The sequence below is a fragment of the Homo sapiens genome, chromosome 9 (genome assembly GCF_000001405.40).
Source record: "Homo sapiens chromosome 9, GRCh38.p14 Primary Assembly".
NCBI classification, from domain to species: domain Eukaryota; kingdom Metazoa; phylum Chordata; class Mammalia; order Primates; family Hominidae; genus Homo; species Homo sapiens.
The window spans coordinates 122396340-122422184 of record NC_000009.12 but is presented as its reverse complement, the minus strand read 5'-3'; the positions used below and the strand labels follow the sequence as shown (position 1 = coordinate 122422184).

Below are 25845 nucleotides of genomic sequence, written 5' to 3'. Positions count from 1 at the left end.
TGACTCTGGTACTCTCTCTACTGGCGGGGTGCTGCCGACCCAATGTGCATGGATTTAATTGCAATGGAGGAAAAGTCCTGGGGAGATGTCCCATAACTGTGGCCCTATCACAGGGTGTCTGTCCATAGCCCTACTGCAGCGTGTCTGGGTTGATGAGTATCCTAGACACTGCCAATGCCTCCTTCCTTCTCCTGACTGGTTCTGTGGGCCCGTGGTGGGGTGTCTGTCTGTAGCCTCATTGTGGGGTGACACGCCACAATGTAGCTCCACCACAGGGTGTCTGTCTCGGTTCAGCTCCTTCAAAGGTCTCAGTTTGTCTGTAGCCCCATTGAGGGTGTCTGTCTCAGTTCGGTTCCTGAGGGGTCTTGGTTGGCTCTCCCTAACTAGTAGGAAGAGTCCTGGTTTGGGAGACTTCTGGATCAGGAAGATTTTGGGAAGATTTCTCAGATGGAGAATGGGAGGATAGTTTAGAAGGGATACTCTTGGAGTTCTTGGCTAGAGATGTGATTTGGAAGGCCTTTGTTCATCTCATCTTTGTGTGTTTGTATATGTGGAGCAGATCTCAGAAGGAATTGCTGACAGAAGTCCAGCAGGCCTAACTCTGAGAATGCCCCCCACCCTTACTTGACTGGTCACATTCAGTGAGCCCTGAAGAAAGCTCAACAGGCCTGACTTGGTGTGACTGTCCACTCTTTGTCTTGCCCAGAGACCACCCATTGAATTACTGTTCAGAGATCATGCCTCCCCACCTGGAGTAGACCAAGGACAACAGAGACCAATGGGAGAAAGTTTGAGCCTTGCCATGTCGATATTGGGTCCTGAATGAAGTGACTAGTGTCTGTTTTGTTACGTGTACTTTGCTCCAGCTGGGATGGAAAATGTTAATTCACTTTTCTATGCAGCCCATTGTGCAACATCTTGCAAAACTTAGAATCTTTTGTCTCTGGTTCCATAAAACAGAAAAGGGTGATTTTCTTTTGTAAAGGGGCTTAACCCCTACAGCTATAGTACAGCAAGCAGGGCCATCAAAAACCACTTCATTCTTCTGGCCTTCCTTGGTGTGTAATAACTAGGTAGGAAATATACTTTATGGTATAGCTAATGGCAGTCATGGAGGGATACTTGGCTCTTTGTACTCCTCAAAGAGAAAAGCATGCTCTTGGCCACCTGGAAGATATGGAAACATCCCCAACCCCCACTGAGACATGAGACTCCCATGCAGGATGGGCTAATTACAAAATGGGCTGATTTGCTTTGGGTTGCCTTGCAATGAAATGCATGGTAGAAGCACTGCACTATCTACTGTCATAGTGTTTCCCTCCTTTTTGGGGATCCAGGATCCAGTATAAAATAACACCCTATCCCAGCACTTTGGGAGGCCAAGGTGGGCAGATCACCTGAGGTCAGGAGTTCGAGACTGGTCTGACCAACATGGTGAAACCCTGTCTCTACTAAAAATACAAAAATTAGCTGGGCATGGTGGCAGGTGCCTGTAATCTCAGCTACTCAGGAGGCTGAGGCATGAGAATCACCTGAGGTTGCAGAAGTTGCCGTGAGCCAGGATTGTGCCACTGCACTCCATCGTGGGCAAAAGAGCAAGACTCTGTCTCAAAATAAAATAAAATAAAAATTAAAATGGCACCCTTAATTTTGGGGATCTGTCTTTGCCTTCCAGCTGTGCCTCCTTATTAGGCCCTAGAAACTGCATGCTTTCCTGACCCTGTTCCTCCAAGGACTCCACCCAGAAGCCAGTAATCCAATTAAAAAACTAGCAAATGAAAAATCTTACAACTGCTGGATCTTCTGTCTGTCCGTCTGTGTATTTATGTGTTGTTTGTGTAATATTTATATAAAAGGGCTCTGATTAATTGATTTAGAATAATAAGTGCTTAAATCATATTTTGTCAGAAAAATAGACACTTTAATGCCTTTTTATTCACGTGATGTTAGTAATATTTTGGGGGGAAAAAGACAGTTTTAAAGATTATTGGTAAAATAAAAATGTCTTCAACTGTAGGCATTTAGTCTAAATTTAAGGTCAGATATCAGATTTGCTAAAAGCATTAAGATCATAGACTGCTTCTTTGACTTTTGATAATTGTTCAATTTACCTACTTTGTAGCATGAGATTCTAGATAAGGCCTGAGGACATGTGGAGTTAGCCATGCCCCACCCATGCCCCAACCCTCTGGCTATGCTGGAAAGAGTCAGACCTTATCTGCACTTCTCTCTGATGCCCTAGGTTCCATCCCTAGTACCTAATTAAAATCGCTCACTTACCAGGTTTTTCACCAAAAATAAACATTGCTAATAGTTAACATTGTAATATGTAGTTGAGACTCTGAAGAAACAGTTTTACATACAAGGTGTGTAGGGACAGTAGAATGTGTTTTTGGTTATAAGAAGGCATGGGAATGTGGCTTTTGTTAAAGGGAATGTAATTTTGTCTACTTCAGAGGGTTTTAAAGGTCATCTTAACCTCAAAGAGTAATGGGAAAAAACTGAAGGTTTAAGCAAAGCGAAAAGAGTTTGTGAAGGCTTGGTCTTGTAAAGAAAGTTCTGTGGGTATGAGCAAGTTGGCTAAGATTTGAAGGGGATTATTTAATTTTTTTCTGTAAGTCAAACATTAAAATAAAAGCATACTAATGCAGGGCCAGAAACTGGGCCCCATGTGTCCAAATAACAGGATTTTCTTAGAAAATTGATTTGCTGTTTAACAGAAAATTGTAAAGGGTTCTAAAAGGTTTATGAAAATCTTACCTTAGGGTCAAACTAATTAAAACTAGATAGATTTATAAAATTTTCTTTAAAAACTAGCTTTAGCATTAAAGATGCAGTAATGCAAACATGAAATATGTTTTTCTCTTTTGAAAAAGATCTTCATGTAATATTAAAAGATAATGAAAGGTTTTTGTTTGCCCCTTTGGGTAAATTGCAGGAAAAAAAAAAAGAGAAGAGAAAAGAGAAGGATTCAGTTGGCCTCATGCTAACTTCATTGAGTCTTGTTTGGAAAGCTTTGTCTCTTCTATCAAAGTAAAGATTTTTGCCTTTTAAAAAGTTTTTTTGAGTTACCACTTTGGATAAATGAACAACCTACGAACCTATTTTGTGACATTCGGTGTTTTAAACCTTTGGTATTTGACAATCTTGCCAAAATCAAATTATAAAGTATGTCATTTTCTGATCTAACTAATCCTTTAGACATTAGGTTCCCTGAAGTCCAAAAGTGATGTGTTTGGCTTATTTGGTATAAAAATCATACAGGAAGCATTGTCAAATATGAAATGGTGTTTGGCTTTCTTTGGGCTATATCTATTTGTGTAAATGTGTTATTGGTATATGTTCCAAAATTATGTGAAACTCCTACAATTCTGATATGACTCAGTATATGTTATCAGTAATAATGATAATTGTTATGTTAAATTATTGTGTGCCACAGAGGTAACCAAAATTCCTGGTCAACTATTGCTTTAATAATGGCTGTCCTGAGACTTTCTGTCATCCAAAGACATTTTTTGTCTTGTTACAATCCTCTTCAAAAGGTGTTTTATAATAGGCTGTAGGACTTTGAGAGGTGTTCTTGGATGCAGCTTTCTAATAACTTTGGAGATTGTGACATTAGAATAGAGGAAAAACTTTTGGGACTCTCATGGAGAGCTGAAATGTTCATGAATATCAAGCAGAACAGGAGTTAACTGAATGGACTAAACTAATAGGAAACTGAAGTAATCATTCTTTGACCTTTTTGCTAAAAATATTGCTGATCCTTTACTTTCCAGAGCCAAGAAAACTTTTCTTTTGAGCTATGTATAGCTTTTAACAACTGAGTAAAATATACTTCTATGATCAAAATTTAGAGCATATTTGTTTCTCTCTACTTGATTTCTCCAGAATTTGGAAACTATTTGAGTATTCTCAACTTATGACAGTATAGTTATTGCATAAGTGCAATAAGAATCTGCTTTCTTTTGTAACAGGACACAGCTGGAGAAACTGGTTACTTTACCAAGACTGGAATGGCATGTTTTCCTTTAAGGAATCTAACTTGACTTATAGAGCCAATAAAAGCCCCTTGGGAAAACTGGCCTCATACCTTGTCTATACAGTCCTGTATAGGGTTTCTGACCAGTGGTAAATAAAGCATGTAACTTTTTAAGAGGCCCAAGGGCCCCAGGTTATCCTAGGACCTCAAGAGGAGAGGAATATACCCAACTCATAGTAATTTGAGGGTACAAACCCATGGCTGGGCTCAGCTTTTAAAAAATCTTATCTGAGATTCCTTATGAAACAGAGTTCCATCAAAGCCAATTTAAAATGCCTATGTGGGAATAATTATTCTTGCTGCATTTTATGCAAATAATCAGGCCAAATATAATAAGACTAAAGTTTATTTTGCAAACAAATCAGTTCTATCATGATTTGTTTTTAATAACAATGGGAACTGATGACAGAAAAATTATGTTTAAAAAAAAAACTACAGTACACCTGTTGTTATCTGTTCTTGAGTTTTTTCTGCAGTCTGGACTAGATCCTAAAGTCTTTGTGGGCTACAAGTCTCCAAACTAATGCTTTCAAATCTTTACTTTTAAAACTGGGAATTGCACTCCTTACCCTAGTACTTATTATTTACCTTATAGTATGTTGTTCCCTTAAATGCAGTACTAAAACTATAGATGACAATGCTAATGTCTTTTCCATGCAAACCTTGGAACCCCAGCCAGACCTGCATGAGTATGCTCAGACAATTGCAAAGTGGTTCCACTCCTCTCACCTTGGGATCAACACCTACCCTCACTACGCCCTATCAGCAGAAAGAAGTTAGAGCGATCTTCACCCTTTTTCCATCTTCTTTAGCCAACACCTTAAGATTAAGGTGTTATAAAACCCAAAAGGAGAGATTGAAACCACCATTGCAAAATTGTAACTGAGACAGTGAAAGAGATGTGACCTAACCAACTCCATCTTGTTTTTAACTTCCAAGCTGTCCTTGTTCATTCCTGGGGATAGGCACAACTAACTTTGGGAGGAACTTTGTTTATAGTTTAAAACAAAGAATGAGAACAGGCTTTTCCAAAGGCAAATTCCCTCCTTGTGTGGGGACTAAACTGCCTTTTTAGGGCTAACAAATTAGCCACAAGATTAGAAATTATGGGCCGGGCACAGTGGCTCATGCCTGTAACCCCAGCACTTTGGGAGGCCAAGGTGGGTGGATCACATGAGGTCAGGAGTTCAAGACCAGCCATGGCAAAACCCCATCTCTACTAAAAATACAAAATTAGCCAGGCATGGTGGTGAGTACCTGTAATCCCAGCTACTCAAGAGGCTGAGGCAGGAGAATCGCTTCAACCCAGGAGGCAGAGGTTGCAGTGAGCCAAGATTGCATGATTGTACTCTAGCATGGGCGACAGAGTGAGGCTCTGTCAAAATAAAAAAAAAAAAAAAAAAGATTAGAAATTATGGTTTAGGAGTCATGCAGCTGGAGGCTTCAATATTCTGACCCTCCCTAAACTGCTCATAAGATCAGTGCTTGAGATATTTTACAGATCCTGCACTTGATGGATTAGCTAGCACCACGCAGATCGATAAACTGGCTCATCTGATCTTGTGGCCCCCCACCCAGGAACTGACTCAAAACAAGAAGACAGCTTCTACTTCCTGTGATTTCTTCTCTGACCTAACCAATCAGCACTCCCAGCTCACTGGCTTCCCCCCACTCACCAAGTTGTCCTTAAAAACTCTGATCCTTGAATGCTTGGGGAGACTGACTAGACTAATAATAAAACTCCAGTCTCCCCCTCACCAAAAAAAAGTATAATAAAGGAGCTGGGCATGGTGGCTCATGCCTGTAATCCCAACACTTTGAGAAGCCAAGGTGAGAGGATTGCTTGAGCCCAGGAGTTCGAGACCAGCTTAGCCAACATGGCGAAACTCCGTCTCTACAGGAAATACAAAAATTAGCTGGGCATGGTGGTGCGCACCTGCAACCCAGCTACTCGGGAGGCTGAGGTGAGAGGATAACCTGAGCCCAGGCAGTCGAGACTGCAGTGAGCTGTGATTGTACCACAGCACTCCAGCCTGGGTGACACAGCAAGATCCTCTCTCAAAAAACAAAAATAAAAAAGTATGATAAAGGTATATTGTGAACAACTCTCTGCCAATAAACTCAACAACCTAAGGACAAATTCTTTGAAAGATGCAATTATGAAAACAGACTCAAGAAACATAGAAAATCTAAATAACTCTGTATCTCCTTTTAAAATCAAATTAATGACTTAAAACCCTCCCAAAACAGATCCTCGATCCTCAGATGGCCTCATTAATAATTCTTTTTTTTTTCGCTCAGCTTTCTGATCTACTCATTAATAAGTTCTATTAATCATTTAAAGAAGAAATAATACCAACCTTATGTAAACTCTTTCAGAAAGTAGAGGTGTGGCATTTCCCAATCCATTTTGTGAGACCAGCATTATCCTGATAACATAAACATATATATAAAACATAAAAATGAACATAAAAACATAAATATAAACATAAAAATCTACTTAAAATATTATCAAATTGAATGCAACAATACATAGAAAGAATAAGACCTTATGTCCAAGGATGGTTTATCCCAGATATGCAAAATTGGTTCAACATTTAAAAATCAATTCATGTAATTTACCATATCAATAGAGGAAAAAAGAAAAACAACTTTAATATCTCAATAGATGGAGAAAAAGCATATGGCAAAAAAAAACAACAATAAATAGAACTGTCAGTAAGCTCAGAATAAAAAACAACTTTCTCAAACTGATGAAAGGTCATTCCACAAAACACAGCTAACATTACACTTAATGGCAAAAGACTAAATGCCATCATCCTAAGATAGGAACAAGGGAAGGGTGTCTTCTCTCACTGATTCTACTAAATATTGTACTAAAGATCCTAGCTATACAGCATGGCAAGAAAAAGAAGTAAAAAGGCATGCATATTAAAAAGAAAGGAGTAAAACTGTTCTTATTCAAAGATAACACTATCATACATAGAAAGGCCTAAAGAATATGCAAGGAAAAAAAAATCTACTAAAGCCAATATGTAAATTTAGTGAGTTTCCAGGATCCAAAAAGTCAATCGTATTTCTATATACTAGGCAAAAAAAACAAGCCAAAGTAAATTTAAAAAAAAAAACCAGTAATTTATCCACATAACAAACCTGCACATGTACCCCTTGAACCTAAAATGAAGGTAGGAAAAAAAAAGAATTTCATCTACAATATCATCAAAAAAATATTTGTGGCTAAATTTAACAAAATCATACAAAACCTGTACACTGAAAACTACAAAACAATGCTGAGATTAAAAACCTAAGTAAAGGAAAAAATACACCATGCTCCTAAACTGGAAGGCTCAATATTAAGATGTCAGTCTGGAGGGTAGAGCCAAGATAGCTGAATAGGAACAGCTCCGGTCTACAGCTCCCAGCGTGAGCGATGCAGAAGACAGATGATTTCTGCATTTCCAACTGAGGTACCGGGTTCATCTCACTAAGGAGTGACAACAGTGGGTGCAGGACAGTGGGTGCAGAGCACCATGCATGACCCGAAGCAGGGCGAGGCATTGCCTCACTCAGGAAGTGCAAGGGGTCAGGGAGTTCCCTTTCCTAGTCAAAGAAAGGGGTGACAGATGGCACCTGGAAAATCGGGTCACTCCCACCCTAATACTGCGCTTTTCCAACGGGCTTAAAAAAATGGCACACCAGGAGATTATATTCCACACCTGGCTCGGAGGGTCCTATGCCCATGGAGTCTCGCTAATTGCTAGCACAGCAGTCTGAGATCAAACTGCAAGGCAGCAGCGAGGCTGGGGGAGGGGTGCCTGCCATTGCCCAGGCTTGATTAGGTAAACAAAGCAGCCAGGAAGCCCGAACTGGGTGGAGCCTGCCTGCCTCTGTAGACTCAACCTCTGGAGGCAGGGCACAGACAAACAAAAAGACAGCAGTAACCTCTGCAGACTTAAATGTCCCTGTCTGACAGCTTGGAAGAGAGCACTGGTTCTCCCAGCACACAGCTTGAGATCTGAGAATGGGCAGACTGCCTCCTCAAGTGGGTCCCTGACCCCCAAGCAGCCTAACTGGGAGGGCACCCCCCAGTAGGGGCAGACTGACACCTCACACAGCCAGGTACTCCTCTGAGACAAAACTTCCAGAGGAATGATCAGGCAGCAGCATTTGCAGGTCACCAATATCCGCTGTTCTACAGCCACCGCTGTTCTGCAGCCACCACTGCTGATACCCAGGCAAACAGCATCTGGAGTGGATCTCTAGCAAACTCCAACAGACGTGCAGCTGAGGGTCCTATCTGTTAGAAGGAAAACTAACAAACAGAAAGGACATCCACACCAAAAACCCATCTGTACGTCACCATCATCAAAGACCAAAAGTAGATAAAACCACAAAGATGGGGAAAAAACAGAGCAGAAAAACTGGAAACTCTAAAAAGCAGAGCACCTCTCCTCCTCCAAAGGAACACAGCTCCTCACCAGCAACGGAACAAAGCTGGACGGAGAATGACTTTGACAAGTTGAGAGAAGGCTTCAGACGATCAAACTACTCCAAGCTACAGGAGGAAATTCAAACCAATGGCAAAGAAGTTAAAAACTTTGAAAAAAAAATTAGATGAATGGATAACTAGAATAACCAATGCAGACAAGTCCTTAAAGGACCTGATGGAGCTGAAAGCCAAGGCTCGAGAACTACGTAAAGAATGCAGAAGCCTCAGGAGCCAATGCAATCAACTGGAAGAAAGGGTATCAGTGATGGAAGATGAAATGAATGAAATGAAGCAAGAAGGGAAGTTTAGAGAAAAAAGAATAAAAAGAAACGAACAAGGCCTCCAAGAAATATGGGACTATGTGAAAAGACCAAATCTACATCTGATTGGTGTACCTGAAAGTGACGGGGAGAATGGAACCAAGTTGGAAAACACTCTGCAGGACATTACCCAGAAGAACTTCCCCAATCTAGCAATGCAGGCCAATATTCAGATTCAGGAAATACAGAGAACGCCACAGAGATACTCCTCAAGAAGAGCAACTCCAAGACACATAATTGTCAGATTCACCAAAGTTGAAATGAAGGAAAAAATGTTAAGGGCAGCCAGAGAGAAAGGTTGGGTTACCCACAAAGGGAAGCCCATCAGACTAACAGCAGATCTCTTGGCAGAAGCTCTACAAGCCAGAAGAGAGTGGGGGCCAATATTCAACATTCTTAAAGAAAAGAATTTTCAACCCAGAATTTCATATCCAGCCAAACTAAGCTTCATAAGTGAAGGAGAAATAAAATCCTTTACAGACAAGCAAATGCTGAGAGATTTTGTCACCACCAGGCCTGCCCTAAAAGAGCTCCTGAAGGAAGCACTAAACATGGAAAGGAACAACCGGTATCAGCCACTGCAAAAACATGCCAAAATGTAAAGACCATCAAGGCTAGGAAGAAACTGCATCAACTAATGAGCAAAATAACCAGCTAACATCATAATGACAGGACCAAATTCACACATAACAATATTAACTTTAAATGTAAATGGGCTAAATGCTCCAATTAAAAGACACAGACTGGCAAATTGGATAGAGTCAAGACCCATCAGTGTGCTGTATTCAGGAAACCCATCTCACGTGCAGAGACACACATAGGCTCAAAATAAAGGGATGGAGGAAGATCTACCAAGCAAATGGAAAACAAAAAAAGGCAGGGGTTGCAATCCTAGTCTCTGATAAAACAGACTTTAAACCAGCAAAGATCAAAAGAGACAAAGAAGGCCATTACATAATGGTAAAGGGATCAATTCAACAAGAAGAGCTAACTATCCTAAATATATATGCATCCAATACAGGAGCACCCAGATTCATAAAGCAAGTCCTGAGTGACCTACAAAGAGACTTAGACTCCCACACAATAATAATGGGAGACTTTAACACCCCACTGTCAACATTAGACAGATCAACGAGACAGAAAGTTAACAAGGATACCCAGGAATTGAACTCAGCTCTGCACCAAGCTGACCTAATAGACATCTACAGAACTCTCTACCCCAAATCAACAGAATATACATTCTTTTCAGCACCACACCACACCTATTCCAAAACTGACCACATAGTTGGAAGTAAAGCACTCCTCAGCAAATGTAAAAGAACAGAAATTATGACAAACTGTCTCTCAGACCACAGTGCAATAAAACTAGAACTCAGGATTAAGAAACTCACTCAAAACCGCTCAACTACATGGAAACTGAACAACCTGCTCCTGAGTGATTACTGGGTACATAACGAAATGAAGGCAGAAATAAAGATGTTCTTTGAAACCAATGAAAACAAAGACACAACATACCAGAATCTCTGGGACACATTCAAAGCAGTGTGTAGAGGGAAATTTATAGCACTAAATGCCCACAAGAGAAAGCAGGAAAGATCCAAAATTGACACCCTAACATCACAATTAAAAGAACTAGAAAAGCAAGAGCAAACACATTCAAAAGCTAGCAGAAGGCAAGAAATAACTAAAATCAGAGCAGAACTGAAGGAAACAGAGACACAAAAAACCCTTCAAAAAATCAATGAATCCAGGAGCTGGTTTTTTGAAAAGATCAACAAAATTGATAGACTGTTAGCAAGACTAATAAAGAAGAAAAGAGGAAAGAATCAAATAGACGCAATAAAAAATGATAAAGGGGATATCACCACCGATCCCACAGAAATACAAACTACCATCAGAGAATACTACAAACACCTCTACGCAAATAAACTAGAAAATCTAGAAGAAATGGATAAATTCCTCGACACATCCACCCTCCCAAGACTAAACCAGGAAGAAGTTGAATCTCTGAATAGACCAATAACAGGATCTGAAATTGTGGCAATAATCAATAGCTTACCAACCAAAAAGAGTCCAGGACCAGATGGATTCACAGCCGAATTCTACCAGAGGTACAAGGAAGAGCTGGTACCATTCCTTCTGAAACTATTCCAATCAATAGAAAAAGAGGGAATCCTCCCTAACTCATTTTATGAGGCCAGCATCATCCTGATACCAAAGCCTGGCAGAGACACAACCAAAAAAGAGAATTTTAGACCGATATCCTTGATGAACATTGATGCAAAAATCCTCAATAAAATACTGGCAAACCGAATCCAGCAGCACATCAAAAAGCTTATCCACCATAACCAAGTGGGCTTTATCCCTGGGATGCAAGGCTGGTTCAACATATGAAAATCAATAAATGTAATCCAGCATATAAACAGAACCAAAGACAAAAACCACATGATTATCTCAATAGATGCAGAAAAGGCCTTTGACAAAATTCAACAATGCTTCATGCTAAAAACTCTCAATAAATTAGGTATTGACGGGACATACCTCAAAATAATACGAGCTATCTATGACAAACCCACAGCCAATATCATACTGAATGGGCAAAAACTGGAAGTATTCCCTTTGAAAACTGGCACAAGACAGGGATGCCCTCTCTCACCACTCCTATTCAACATAGTGTTGGAAGTTCTGGCCAGGGCAATTAGGCAGGAGAAGGAAATAAAGGGTATTCAATTAGGAAAAGAGGAAGTCAAATTGTCCCTGTTTGCAGATGACATGATTGTATATCTAGAAAACCCCATTGTCTCAGCCCAAAATCTCCTTAAGCTGATAAGCAACTTCAGCAAAGTCTCAGGATACAAAATCAACGTACAAAAATCACAAGCATTCTTATACACCAATAACAGACAAACAGAAAGCCAAATCATAAGTGAACTCCCATTCAAAATTGCTTCAAAGAGAATAAAATACCTAGGAATCCAACTTACAAGGGATGTGAAGGACCTCTTCAAGAAGAACTACAAACCACTGCTCAATGAAATAAAAGAGGATACAAACAAATAGAAGAACGTTCCATGCTCATGGGTAGGAAGAATCAATATCGTGAAAATGGCCATACTGCCCAAGGTAATTTATAGATTCAATGCCATCCCCATCAAGCTACCAATGACTTTCTTCACAGAATTGGAAAAAACTACTTTAAAGTTCATATGGAACCAAAAAAGAGCCCGCATCGCCAAGTTAATCCTAAGCCAAAAGAACAAAGCTGGAGGCATCACGCTACCTGACTTCAAACTATACTACAAGGCTACAGTAACCAAAACAGCATGGTACTGGTACCAAAACAGAGATATAGATCAATGGAACAGAACAGAGCTCTCAGAAATAATGCTGCATATCTACAACTATCTGATCTTTGACAAACCTGAGAAAAACAAGCAATGGGGAAAGGATTCCCTATTTAATAAATGGTGCTGGGAAAACTGGCTAGCCATATGTAGAAAGCTGAAACTGGATCCCTTCCTTACACCTTATAGAAAAATTAATTCAAGATGGATTAAAGACTTAAATGTTAGACCTAAAACCATAAAAACCCTAGAAGAAAACCTAGGCAATACCATTCAGGACATAGGCATGGGCAAGGACTTCATGTCTAAAACACCAAAAGCAATGGCAACAAAAGCCAAAATTGACAAATGGGATCTAATTAAACTAAAGAGCTTCTGCACAGCAAAAGAAACTACCATCAGAGTGAATAGGCAACCTACAGAATGGGAGAACATTTTTGCAACCTACTCATCTGACAAAGGGCTAATATCCAGAATCTACAATGAACTCAAACAAATTTACAAGAAAAAAACAAACAACCCCATCAAAAAGTGGGCAAAGGATATGAACAGACACTTCTCAAAAGAAGACATTTATGCAGCCAAAAAACACATGAAAAAATGCTCATCATCACTGGCCAACAGAGAAATGCAAATCAAAACCACAATGAGATACCATCTCACACTAGTTAGAATGGCGATCATTAAAAAGTCAGGAAACAACAGGTGCTGGAGAGGATGTGGAGAAATAGGAACACTTTTACACTGTTGGTGGGACTGTAAACTAGTTCAACCATTGTGGAAGTCGGTGTGGCGATTCCTCAGGGATCTAGAACTAGAAATACCATTTGACCCAGCCATCCCATTACTGGGCCCAAAGGATTATAAATCATGCTGCTATAAAGGGACATGCACACGTATGTTTACTGCGGCACTATTCACAATAGCAAAGACTTGGAACCAACCCAAATGTCCAACAACGATAGATTGGATTAAGAAAATGTGGCACATATACACCATGGAATACGATGCAGCCATAAAAAACGATGAGTTCATGTCCTTTATACGGACATGGATGAAACTGGAAACCATCATTCTCAGCAAACTATCACAAGGACAAAAAACCAAACACCGCATGTTCTCACTCATAGGTGGGAACTGAACAATGAGAACACATGGACACAGGAAGGGGAACATCACACTCCGGTGACTGTTGTGGGGTGGGGGGAGGGGGGAGGGATAGCATTAGGAGATATATCTAATGCTAAATGACGAGTTAATGGGTGCAGTACACCAACATGGCACATGTATACATATGTAACAAACGTGCACATTGTGCACATGTACCCTAAAACTTAAAGTATAATAATAATAAAATTTAAAAAAAAGATGTCAGTTCTTCCCTATTTGATCTATAGATTCAACACTGTCCCTATCAAAATCCCAGCAGCTGTTTTTATAGAAACTGACAAGGTGATTATAAGATTTTTACAGAAACGCAAAAGACCTAGAAAAGCCAAAATCATCTTCAAAAAAATTTTAAAAACCGAGGTGGAAAACTTATACTAAACATTTTCAAGACTTACTAAATAGCTACTTATCTACTCACTTAAAGCTACAAACCCGTGTGATGTTGTCGTAAGCATAAATAAATCAGTGAAATAACGGAGAGTCCAGAAATAGACACACATATATCCAGTCACTTAGCTGTTTACAAAGGTGCTAGTGCAATTAAATTGGGGAAGGAGTAGTCTATTCAACAAATGATGCTAGAGCAACTAGATGTCTAAATGGAAAGAAAGAAACCTTGGCTCTATCTGTATCATGGCCTTAGCATATGATATGCCAAAATTAAGTTAAAATGGAGTTGAGACCTAAGCGTAAAACTACAAACCTTCTAGAGAAAAAAACTGGAGAATATCTTTGTGACATTGCAGTAAATACAATTTTTTAGACAGGATAAAAAACAAAAACACTAACCATAAGGGAAAAATGGGTAAGTTGGGCTTTATTAAAATGTTTTAAATTATATTCTTCAAAGTTATGTTAAGAAAATAAAAGGGCAAACCACAGACTAGGAGAAACTATTTGCAATACCTATAACTTATAATAGTGGCAAGACAAACAACCCAATAAAAGGGCAAAAGATTCAAACAGACACATCATAAAAGAAGATGTGCAAATGACCAATGATATATGAAAAGATACTCAACATCATTAGTCGTCACAGAAATGAAAATTAAAATTACAATGAGATACCACTTAACAGCCACCAGGAAAATGGCTCAATTAAAAACGTATGAGAACCAAGTGTTGCCAAAGATGTGGCACCACTAGAACTGTCATACATTGTTGAGGGGAGTACAGCATATTACGACCCCTTTGGAAAACTATTTGGCAGTGTCTTAAAATTAAATACCTATCTACCATATGATCTAGAAATTCTACTCCAAATATTTATTTAGAGTAAATAATTATATTATTTATTTGCATATCTTCTTTTATGATGTGTCTGCTGGAATCTTTTGCCTTCTTGCTGGGTTGTTTGTCTTATCACTACTAGAAGTTATAGGTATTACAAATATTTGTGATATTTACTTAAGAGAAAGGAAGACTTATATTCACAAATGACTTGTATCATATACTCACAATAGTTGTTTTCACGATAGCCCAAACAAGAAACAATCTAAATGTCCATCAGCAAGGATAAACAAGGATAAACAAATTGCTGTATGTTTACCCAACAGAATGCCACCCAGGACTGAAAAAGAACATACTGCTGATAAACACAGCAACGTGGATAATTTCACAAGACATTAGGTTAAGCAAAAGAAATAAGAAACTTTTAAAAGACTATATATAGGCCAGGTGTGGTGGCTCATGCCTGTAGTCTCAGTACTTTGGGAGACTGAGTCAGTAGGATCACTTGAGCCTAAGAGTTCAAGACCAGCGAGACCCCATCTATACAAAAAAAAAAATTTAAAATTAGCCAGGCATGGTGTCTGTAGTCCCAGCTACTCAGGAGGCTGAGGCAGGAGGATCCCTTGAGCTCAGGAAGTCAAGGCTGCCTCAAGTTATGATTGCACCACTGCACTCCAGTCTGGGCATCAGAATGAGACCCTGTCTCTTTAAAAAATTAATTAAAGAATATATATAGTATGATGCCATTCGTATGAAGTTCAAGAACAGGCTAAACTATCTACAGTGCTAGAAGTCAGACTAGCAGTTACCTCTTTAGGTTAAAAAAAGTTCAAGGTAGGCCAGGTACTGTGGCTTACACCTGTAATCGTGGTGAGAGGTGACAGCGTGCTGGCAGTTCTCGCAGCTCTCGCTCGCTCCCGGCGCCTCGTCTGCCTGAGTTCCCACTTTCGCGGGACTTGAGGAGCCCTTCAGCCCGCCGCTGCACTGTGGGAGCCCCTTCCTGGGCTGGCCGAGGCCGGAGCCGGCTCCCTCAGCTTGCGGGGAGGTGTGGAGGGAGAGGCGCAGGCGGGAACCGGGGCTGCGCACGGCGCTTGCGAGCAGGCGCCAGTTCCGGGTGGGCGGGCGCTCGGCGGGCCCCACACTCGGAGCGGCCAGCCGGCTCCACTGGCCCCCCGGCAGTGAGGGGCTTAGCACCTGGTCTAGCAGCTGCTGTGCTCGACTTCTCGCCGGGCCTTAGCTGCCTCCCCCCGGGGCAGGGTTCGGGCCCTGCAGCCCGCCATGCCTGAGCCGCCCCGCGCCGTGGGCTCCTGCGCCGCCCCAGCCTCCCCGTCGAGCGCCACCCCCTGCTCTACGGCGCCCAGTCCCATCGACCACCCAAGGGCTGAGGAGTGCAGGCGCACGGCGCGGGACTGGCAGGCAGCTCCACCTGCGGCCCCGCTGCGGGATCCACTGGATGAAGCCAGCTGGGCTCCTGCGTCTCGTGGGGACTTGGAGAACCTTTATGTCTAGCTAAGGGATTGTAAATACACCAATCAGTACCCTGTGTCTAGCTCAGGGTTTGTGAATGCACCAATCGACACTCGTATCTAGCTACTCTGGTGGGGAGTTGGAGAACCTCTATGTCTAGCTAAGGGATTATAAATACACTAATGGGCACTCTGTATCTAGCTCAAGGTTTGTAAACACACCAATCAGCACCCTGTGTCTAGCTCAGGGTTTGTGAATGCACCAATAGACACTCAGTATCTGGCTACTCTGGTGGGGACTTGGAGAACCCTTGTGTCCAGCTCAGGGATTGTAAACGCACCAATCAGCACCCTGTCAAAACGGACCAATCAGTGCTCTGTAAAACAGACCAATCAGCTCTGTAAAATGGACCAATCAGGAGGATGTGGGTGGGGCCAGATAAGAGACTAAAAGCAGGCCGCCTGCACCCCGGTGGCAACCTGCTAAGGTCTTGTTCCAACCCGTGGGTGCTTTGTTCTTTTGCTCTTTGCAGTAGATCTTGCTGCTGCTCACTGTTTGGGTCCACATTGCCTTTATGAGCTGTAACACTCACCTTGAAGATCTACAGCTTCACTCCTGAAGCCAGCGAGACCACGAACCCACCGGGAGGAACTAACAACTCCAGATGCACCGCCTTAAGAGCTGTAACCCTCACCGCGAAGGTCCACAGCTTCACTCCTGAGCCAGTGAGACCACGAACCCACCAGAAGGAACAAACTCTGAACACATTCGAACATCAGAAGGAACAAACTCTGGACATGCTGCCTTTAAGAACTGTAACACTCACCTTGAGGGTCCACGGCTTCATTCTTGAAGTCAGTGAGACCAAGAACCCACCAATTCCGGACACAGTGGCACTTTGGGAAACAGAGGCAGGAGGATTTCTTGAGCTCAGGAGTTCAAGACCAGCCTGGGCAACAGAGGGAGGCCCCATCTCTACAAAAAATAAAAATAGGCCAGGTACAGTTGCTCACACTTGTAATCCCAGCACTTTGGGAGGCCAAGGTGGGCAGATCACAAGGTCAGGAAATTGAGACCATCCTGGCCAACATGGTGAAACCCCATCTCTACTAAAAATGCAAAAATTAGCTGGGTGTGGTGGCGCGCACCTGTAGTCCCAGCTACTCAGTAGGCTGAGGCAGGAAAATCGCTTGAATCTGAGAGGCTGAGGTTGCAGTGAGGCAAGATTGCCCCACTGGACTCCAGCCTGGTGACAGAGCAAGACTCTGTCTTAAAAAAATAAATTAATTAAATTAATAAAAAATAAATTAGCCAGGTGTGGTTTTGCATACCTGTGGTCCCAGCTACTCAGGAGGCTGAGGTAGAAGGATTGCTTGAGGCTCAGAGGTCAAGGCTGTAGAGAGTTGCGATCACACACCTCTGCACTCCAGCTGGAATGACAGAGCAAGACCCTGTCTCAAAAAAAAAAAAGTTCAAGCTGTAAACTTGAGATGTGTGCATTTTAATGTAAGCAAAGTATGTCTCAATTTGCATTGTAAATTTATTTTTAAGCCACCTCACTATTAAGCCTTTGATGATTTTTCTGTCACTACTCTTCTACTAGCAAGGTTATGCCCACAGGTACCCCTGTGCTTTACCAATTTTTACACTGCTCAAAGTCCATCAATGGTGAGATTCCCTGCGTCCTCCCTAAACTGCTAACAATTAGTGTCCAGACCAGCTGCCATTTTGAATGGCAGCTACAAGTTCAGCTATATTTGTGAAGCACGATAAGTAAAAATAATCTACTGGAACACTTTGTTGGGGAACTTATGTTCCATATTTTTCCAAATCAGCAGAGACTCCACCTCTGAGCTCTTGTCTGGCTGAGTGATAAAGGCAATCAGATTCAGACCAATGACCAGAATGACCAGCTACTCAACAACAGTGATCATGCAGAGAGGCTCACAAAGCAAGGTTGTTTAAGAAACCCACACAATGCACAATGCTTGGTGGTCACTGACCTTTTCAAAGGTTTATGGAATTATTTGAGACTTGGAAGAAATAATTGTACTGTCCCAAAAACTTACAAAATGAAAGTTATAAATGTTTAATTAAATGTCTACAAAATGTATTATGTTAGTCAACTAAAACCTACCTCAACATATATATGTAAATTATACTAAATGTGCCATATGGCCACATTTTAACATGTTTGGTGTGAGGTAGGACGAGGCATCCAACACAGATTTGTCTTAATTGCATGAAGATCAGGAAAACGTGGCCTTGCTTGCATGTCATATGGTAGCTTTTCTGTTAAGTCTAATAAGCTCCTCCTTTTTTTGTGGACAGAGGTTGCAATTGCTTCCTTCGTTTCTGGAACCATAAGGGAAGTCAGCCTACATGGTCCTAGCAACCAAAAGCCCAAACTCTTGAAGAAAGAATCTTAGACAACAAGGCAGGAGAAACAGCCATCTGGTACCAGTTAGAACCTTTCCTTTCGTGAGACCCCCTCAGCCTGTGACACATTTGGAGTCACTTTATTTCTTACTCTGCTTGCCCTGTGTGCCATCCCAAGATGTCAACTAATAGTTTCTGGGGTCACAGATCCCAGAAAATTCCTGGAACGTAAGTCATTTGAATGTGTGCTCACTGCGTTTTTTTGTTTGTTTTTTGTTACCACTGACCTTCAGGATGGAGTGGAAAGAATATTCTTTTGGAATGGAAAATATATGTGCTTAGGAGTTACCCAGACCTGCATCATTCATGTTTTGGTCATCATTTAGCAGTGGTTGGAAACAGCGCTGGGCTGGAGTGGGGGGTGGTTTTGTCCAGGTTCTACCACTTACGGGCTTTGTGACCTCACATAAATCTTTTCTCTCTGAGCCTCAATTATCTCATCTGTGAAATGGAAGGAAGAACCCCAGTTTCACAGAGCTGCTGGCATGAGAATTAATAAGGTATGCATATCATGATATTAGCACAATGCCTGGCATGTAGTGAATGCTGTTAACACTGTCAGACAGAAAGAAAGTTAATGGTTGCCAGGGGCTGGAGATGGAGAGTGACTGCTGAAAATGGTTATGGGGTTTCCTTTGGAATGATGAAAATGTTCTAGAACTAGGTATTGGTGATGGTTGCGCCACATTGTGAATATACTAAATGCCATTCAATTGCACGCTGTAAGGTGTTTAAAATGATCAACTTTACATTACATGTATTTTACCACAATGAAAGAAAAATAACTGGTAGACCGTCTTTTCTACCCCATAGGGTGAGTGTGGAGGAGGAGGAAATTAGGATCTGGCCTGAATCCCTCCCATAAGGGCAGGAACTGAGAATCAAGACAAGAGCAGATCCTTGAGCATCAGCCTGGTGAAGGAGGCAGAGCTTGGGTTGGGGCCTCACTGAGTGTGGCTCACTTGGTGAGGGAAGGGGTAAGGGCAAGTGGGCAGCAGGCAGGGAGAGAGATGGCACTGCTTTGAGATTTCAGATAACCAGTTATATGCAGTGAACGTCACTGAGGATGCAGAGTGTGAGTCATAGATTAGAAAGGAGACAGCAAGCGTGGAAAAAGTGAGTCATGGGGAGAGGAAAGAAAACGTCACTCATCTAAAGAGGAAAAGAATGACCAAAGGCAGCATGATACAGTGCAGAGGGCTCCCTCTGAGGCTTATGGATAGAATCATCTGGAAGTGCATCAATATCACCAATGCCTACCACCCTCCACTCCCCCATCCCTACTGTGATTCTGGTTCTAGATGATTTGGACAGGGCACATGGTGGGAAAAGGCCACGCTTTGGAATTTCATGTGACCTCCTACCACTTTGTAGCTGTATGACTCCAGACAGGTCACCTAATTTTTCTGTGTCTCAATTTCATCCTTTGTGAAACAGGAAAACCTACCTACAAAATTGTTAGGAGGAGTTAATACAATAGGCAGGTAAAATACATGCCCCAGAGTAGATGTCTGATAAATATATGCTCCCTTTCTCCTTCTCTAATGGTACGTGTACCCTCGTGAATCCACTTTCTCTTTCCATCAGTCCATGAAGCAAGAGAAGACACAAAGGGGAATTTTGAATAGAGAACTGGAACCATTTCCCATAATAAGTGTATGTAAAGATGATGTTTTAATTACAGCCCTCATTATAAGAGTTAAAATCGGCCTGGCGTGGTGGCTCATGTCTGTAATCCCAGCACTCTGGGAGGCCGAGGTGGGCGGATCACGAGGTCAGGAGATCGAGACCATCCTGGCTAACACGGTGAAACCCCGTCTCTACTAAAAATACAAAAAAATTAGCCAGGTGTGGTGGTGGGCACCTGTAGTCCCAGTTACTCGGGAGGCCGAGGCAGGAGAATGGCGTGAACCCGGAAGGTGGAGCTTGCAGTGAGCCAAGATCGCACCGCTGCACTCCAGCCTGGGCGACAGAGTGAGACTCCATCTCAAAAAAAAAAAAAAGAGTTAAAATCTACCATAGAGGGTAGTTTTATTCATAATAGTAAAAAAAATGGAAACAACCCAAATGTCCATCAACAGAAGACTAGATAAATCAACTGTGATATACGTTAATTACACAGCAATAAAAAGATCAAACTGCTGATATACACAGCAACATGGATGTCAACAAACGTTATGTTGAGCAAAAGAAGCCAAACACACAAAAAAGTACATACTTTATGACGCTATTCAAATGAAGTTCGTGAGTAGACAAAATTAATCAAAAGTGATAAAAGTGAAAATAGTGGTTACCTTTCAGTGGTTTTTGACTGGGAAGGAGCACAAAAGAGCCTTCTAGAGTGCTGGGAATGTTCTATATCTTGATTTCTATGGCGGTTTATACATGTGTAAAAATATGTCGAATTATGCACTTAAGATTAATGCTCTTTGCTGTATGTTATACTCCAGTTGAAGGCAGGAGGGAGACCGACCTGCCACAGAAACCTGCAAGGGTGTACTGCCACATCGTTCTGAAACCCAAGCTGCAATTGTACAAATGGCTCAAAATCCCTTTTGACTAAAGGATAAAGATTGAAAGCAAAAGACGTATTTTGACCAAGTGTGGAGGGAAACCAACTTTGAATGAAACACGAATAACAGATAAGATAGTGAAGAAAGTGCTTCACTGTGATTCTCTTAATAGTACTCAATAAAAGTATCTTTTAAGTTTTAGTATTTCTTTCTGTCATTCACACATAGCTGTTTTAATTTAGAGTCCATTTTTATAGGAAAAGCATGATAAAGTTGAAAAGTGGGTTGTAGGCGTGTCTAACATATTTTTGTGTGAGACATATTTTGTGTGTGGATACATAGCAGGTGTGTATATTTATGGGTTACATGAGATGTTTTGATACAGGCATGCAATGCATAATAATCATGTCAGGGCAAATGAGGTGTCTCTTCACTTTGTTGATTGTTTCCTTTGCTGTGCAGAAGCTTTTTAACTTGATGTGATCCCATTTATCCATTTTTGCTTTGGTTGCCTGTGCTTGTGAGGTATTACTCAAGAAATCTTTGCCCACTTCAATGTCCTAGAGAGTTTCCACAGAGTTTTTGCATAGTGGTTTTGTAGTTTGAGGTCTTAGATTTAAGCTTTTAATTCAAAATTTGATTTTATTTTTGTATATGGCAAGAGATAGGAGTCTAGTTTCATTCTTCTGCATATGGATATTCAGTTTTCCCAGCATCATTTATTGAAGATTAACTATCCTTTTCCCAATGTATGTTCTTAACAACTTTATCAAAAATGAGTTCCTGTAGGTGTATAGATCTATTTCTGGGTTCAGTAGTCTGTTTCATTAGTCTATGTGTCTGTTTTTATGCCAGTATAATGCTATTTTGGTTACTATATCTCTGTAGTATAATTTTAAGTCAGGTAATGCGATTCCTCCAGTTTTGTTCTTTTTGCTTAGGATAGCTTTGGCTATTCTGGGTCTTTCGTGGTTCTCTATAAATTCTAGGATTGTTTTTTCTGTTTATATGGAGAATGTCATTGGTATTTTGATAAGGATTGTATTGAATCTATAGACTGCTTTGGGTTGTATGGACATTTTAACAATGTTGATTCTTCCAATCTATGAATATGGAATATTTTTCTGTTTTTCGTGTGTCCTCTCCAATTTCTTTCATAGTGTTTTATTTTCCATTGTCAAGATCTTTCACTTCTTTGATTAATTTCCAGGTACTTAATTTTATTTGTAGCTATCGTAAATGGGATTACTATTTTCAGAATTTTCACTGTTTTCACATAGAAATGTTACTAATTCTTTCTTCTCTTTGATCAATTCTGCTATTAAGAGACTCTGATGCATTCTTTAGTAGTCAGTTGCATTTTTCAGCTTCAGAATTTCGGCTTGATTCTTTTTAATTATTTCAATATCTTGGTTAAATTGATCTGATAGGATTCTGAATTCCTTCTCTGTATTATCTTGTATTTCACTGAGTTTCCTCAAAATAGCTATTTCAAATTCTCTGTCTGAAAAGCCTAGAGGTGTAGATATATGACCTCTCTCTGAGAGATAGAGAAAGATCACATATTTCTATCTCTCTAGGATAAATCCCTGATGACTTATTTAGTTTGTTTAGTAAGGTCATGTTTTCTTGAGTGGTATTGATGCTTGTGGATGTTCACTGGTGTCTGGACATTGAAAAGTTAGATATTTGTGGTAGTCTTTGCAGTCTGGGCTTCTTGGGAAAGCCTTCTTGGGAAGGCTTTCCAGGTATTCGAAGGGACTTGGGTGTTGTCATCTAAGTTTTTGGTCACCATAGTCATATCAGCATTAGGAGGCACCCCAAGCCCAGTAATGCTGTGGCTCTTGCAGACTTGTAGAGGTACCACTTGATGGTCTTGGATAAGATCTGGAAGAATTGTCTGGATTACCAGGCAGATATTCTTGTTCTCTTCCCTTACTTTCTCCCAAACAGACAGAGTCTCTCTGTCTCTGTGCTGAGCTGCCTACAACTGGGGGAGGGGTGGCACAAGCACCCCTGTGGCCACCACCACTGGGACTGCACTAGGTCAGACCTGAAGCCAGCACAGCACTGTTTCTTACCCAAGGCCCATTATAACCACTACCTGGCTACCACCACCTTTGTTTACTCAAGGCTTTAGGGCTTTGCAGTTAGCAGGCAGTAAGTCAGCCAAGCTTGTGTCCTTCCCTTCAGGGCAGCGAGTTCCCCCAAGCAGGTCCGTAGATGCTGTTTGGGGACCAGAGCCTGGAGTTGAAAATCTTAAGAATCTGCCTTGTGTTCTATTCTACTGCAGCTGAGCTGCAGACAAAGCTACAAGTCAAGTCTTTCCCACTCATCCCTCCCCTTCCCACAGGCAGAGGAGTCTCTCCCCATGGCCAGCACCACCACAGGCCCATGGGGAGTACTGCCTGGCTACCACCAATGTTCACACAAGGCCAAGAGCTCTTCAGGAAGCTTGTGGTGAATGCTGCCAGACCTAGGACTCACGTATCAGGGCAGTGGTCTCCCCTCTGGCCCAGGTCAGGTCCAGAAATGCTGTGCGAGAGCCAAGGCCTGGAATCAGGGATACTGAGAGCCCACTTGGTGCTCTGCCCCACTGTGGCCGAGCTAGTACCTAAGCTGCAAGATGAAATCCCCTTTACTTTTCCCCCTGCTTTTCTCAAGTAGAAGGAGTCTCTCCCCATAGCCACCACAGCTGGGAATGTGCTGGGTCACACCTGAAGTCAGCACATCTCAGAATCTCACTCAAGGGCCATAGTGTGTACTACCTGGCTACTGCTGCTGATTATTCAGGGCCCAAGGGCACTTTAGTCAGCAGGTGGTGAATACTATCAGGACTAGATCCTTTCATTCAAGGCAACAGGTTCCCTTCTGCCTTATATGGCCCATATAAGCCCAGGATATGTCTAGAAATGTCATCTGGAAGTTAGGTCCTGGAATGGGTGCCTCAGGACTCTGCCCGGTGCCCTAAACTACTGTGGCTGAGCTGGTATCCAAGTGGCAAGACAAGTCCTCTTTACTCTTCTCTCCTCAAGCTGAAGGAAGGAGTCTCTTTGAGAGCTGTGAGTTGCACTGCCTAGGGTTGGGAGAGGGGTGGCACAAGCACTCCCTTGGCTATCGCAGCAGGTCACATGCCCCTCAAGTCCACTGGCTCCAAGCGCAGATCAGACTTTCCTAGGAGTTGTAATCCTTGTGGCCTATACTGCCTTTCAAGTTTATTTAGAACCCCAGAGCCCTTTAGCCCATTCAGCAACTGGGATGGATGCTTCCCCTCTGGCTAGGGCTGATCTAAATTCTCCCTCATGGGTATTAGCTGAGTTCTGCCTGGTGTTGCTTTCCAGTGTAACAAGGCAACACTGAGTTCTAACACAAAGTCCTACAACCACTACACTCTCCCTACACAGATTCTCTGTGCCATGTGGCTGCTGCCAGGGATCGGGGAGGGATGGCTCTGGCAATTCAAGACCATCCTTCCTACCCTCCTCAGTGCCTCTTTCAGTAATATAAAGTTAAAACCAGGTACTACAATCATTCACTTGAATTTTGGTTCTAATGAAGGTGCATTTTTTGTGTAGACAGTTGTTAAATTTGGTGTTCCTGTGGGGAAGACAATTGGTAGAAGCTTCTATTCTGCCTTCTTGCTCTGCCTCCTGCGTTTCTGACACTTTTTTTAACTCAAAAATTACTAAAAGAGTGGACTGTGTGTACCCAACAGTCTTTGTTTCTCTGTTGTTCTATAATTACATAACTTCACTTCTTAAGCTCTTTGCTTGCAACTATATCGAGCTGCTACCAGGTCAACAGTAAGGCCATTGTGATGGTCTTTGTAACATTCTAGGGATAGGGCCCACAGAGGCAGAACAGAACTAAGAAAATTCAGATTCACTGAAGCAGACTTTCCACGTTTCCCAGCCCCTTTGAACACCTTCCCTATGTATGAGGAATTTTCCTTATCATGGGTTCCTCCTTTTCAAGGCACAAACCAGAAAACTCACTTTCCATTCTTTCTTGTAGCTGCAGTACAGACACATGAGCTGGGCTCCACCAATCCGACACAAAATAAAGATAATTTTAATTCTAAGTAGAGAAAAGAGAGGAAGCAAGTATCACACAGATTCCATTTTCCAGCAAAAGTGGCTGTAGAAGCAGCCTGTTTTGGAAGGCAGCAGTAGTGGGGTTTGGGCAGCAAAGGTGTCATTTGAGATGCTGTGTCCATGGCAGTAGTAGAGGCATCTCCACTGGACAGTGGCCACCATTCCTAGGTGCAAACCCTCCAAGCCTAATTCCCTGGTCCTCCCAGTGGCTCCATGAGCTATGTAATGTCCTATAATAAATTCCTTCCTGCTTATACAGGCTAGAGAATGTTCTGTTGTTTGCATTGAGAGTCCTGAATGAATCACCCATTGTATTAGTCGGGGTTCTCCAGAGAATTAGAACCAACAGAATATATGTATATTATTATTATTATTATTATTATTATTATTATTTGATTTCCAATAATCAAATAATACAGTGGTTTGTGTATTATTTGATTATTGGAACTTGAATAATAATATACATATATTGGTTACACGTGTAGGATGTGCAGGTTTGTTACACAGGTAAACGTGTGCCATGGTAGTTTGCTGCACAGATCATCCCATCAGCTAGGTATTAACATTAGCTATTCTTCCTGATGGCCCACCTCCCACCCTCCGACAGGCCTCAGCATGTGTTGTTCCCCACCATATGTCCACGTATTCTCATCATTCATCTCCCACGCATAAGTGAGAACATGCAGTATTTGGTTTTCTGTTCTTGTATTATTAGAGAGATAGAAATATATATATAT

General features: G+C 41.6%; 1 long non-coding RNA gene across 1 annotated transcript, besides 1 other annotated feature; it reads left to right on the top strand.

Annotated features, from left to right (window-relative positions):
• The first annotated feature begins 18889 nt into the window (after positions 1-18889).
• Positions 18890-21215, top strand: LOC124902264 (uncharacterized). Its single transcript, XR_007061758.1, has 2 exons — positions 18890-19001; positions 20952-21215. It is a non-coding gene; the product is annotated as an uncharacterized LOC124902264 (long non-coding RNA).
• Positions 18992-20191: an enhancer, noted in NCBI's record as "P300/CBP strongly-dependent group 1 enhancer chr9:125164273-125165472 (GRCh37/hg19 assembly coordinates)". NCBI's record gives its function as "activates an origin of replication core promoter dependent on BRD2, BRD4, P300/CBP, MED14 and CDK7 cofactors, with strong dependence on P300/CBP, by STARR-seq in HCT116 cells {active_cell/tissue: HCT116}" and the evidence as "EXISTENCE:reporter gene assay evidence [ECO:0000049][PMID:35650434]".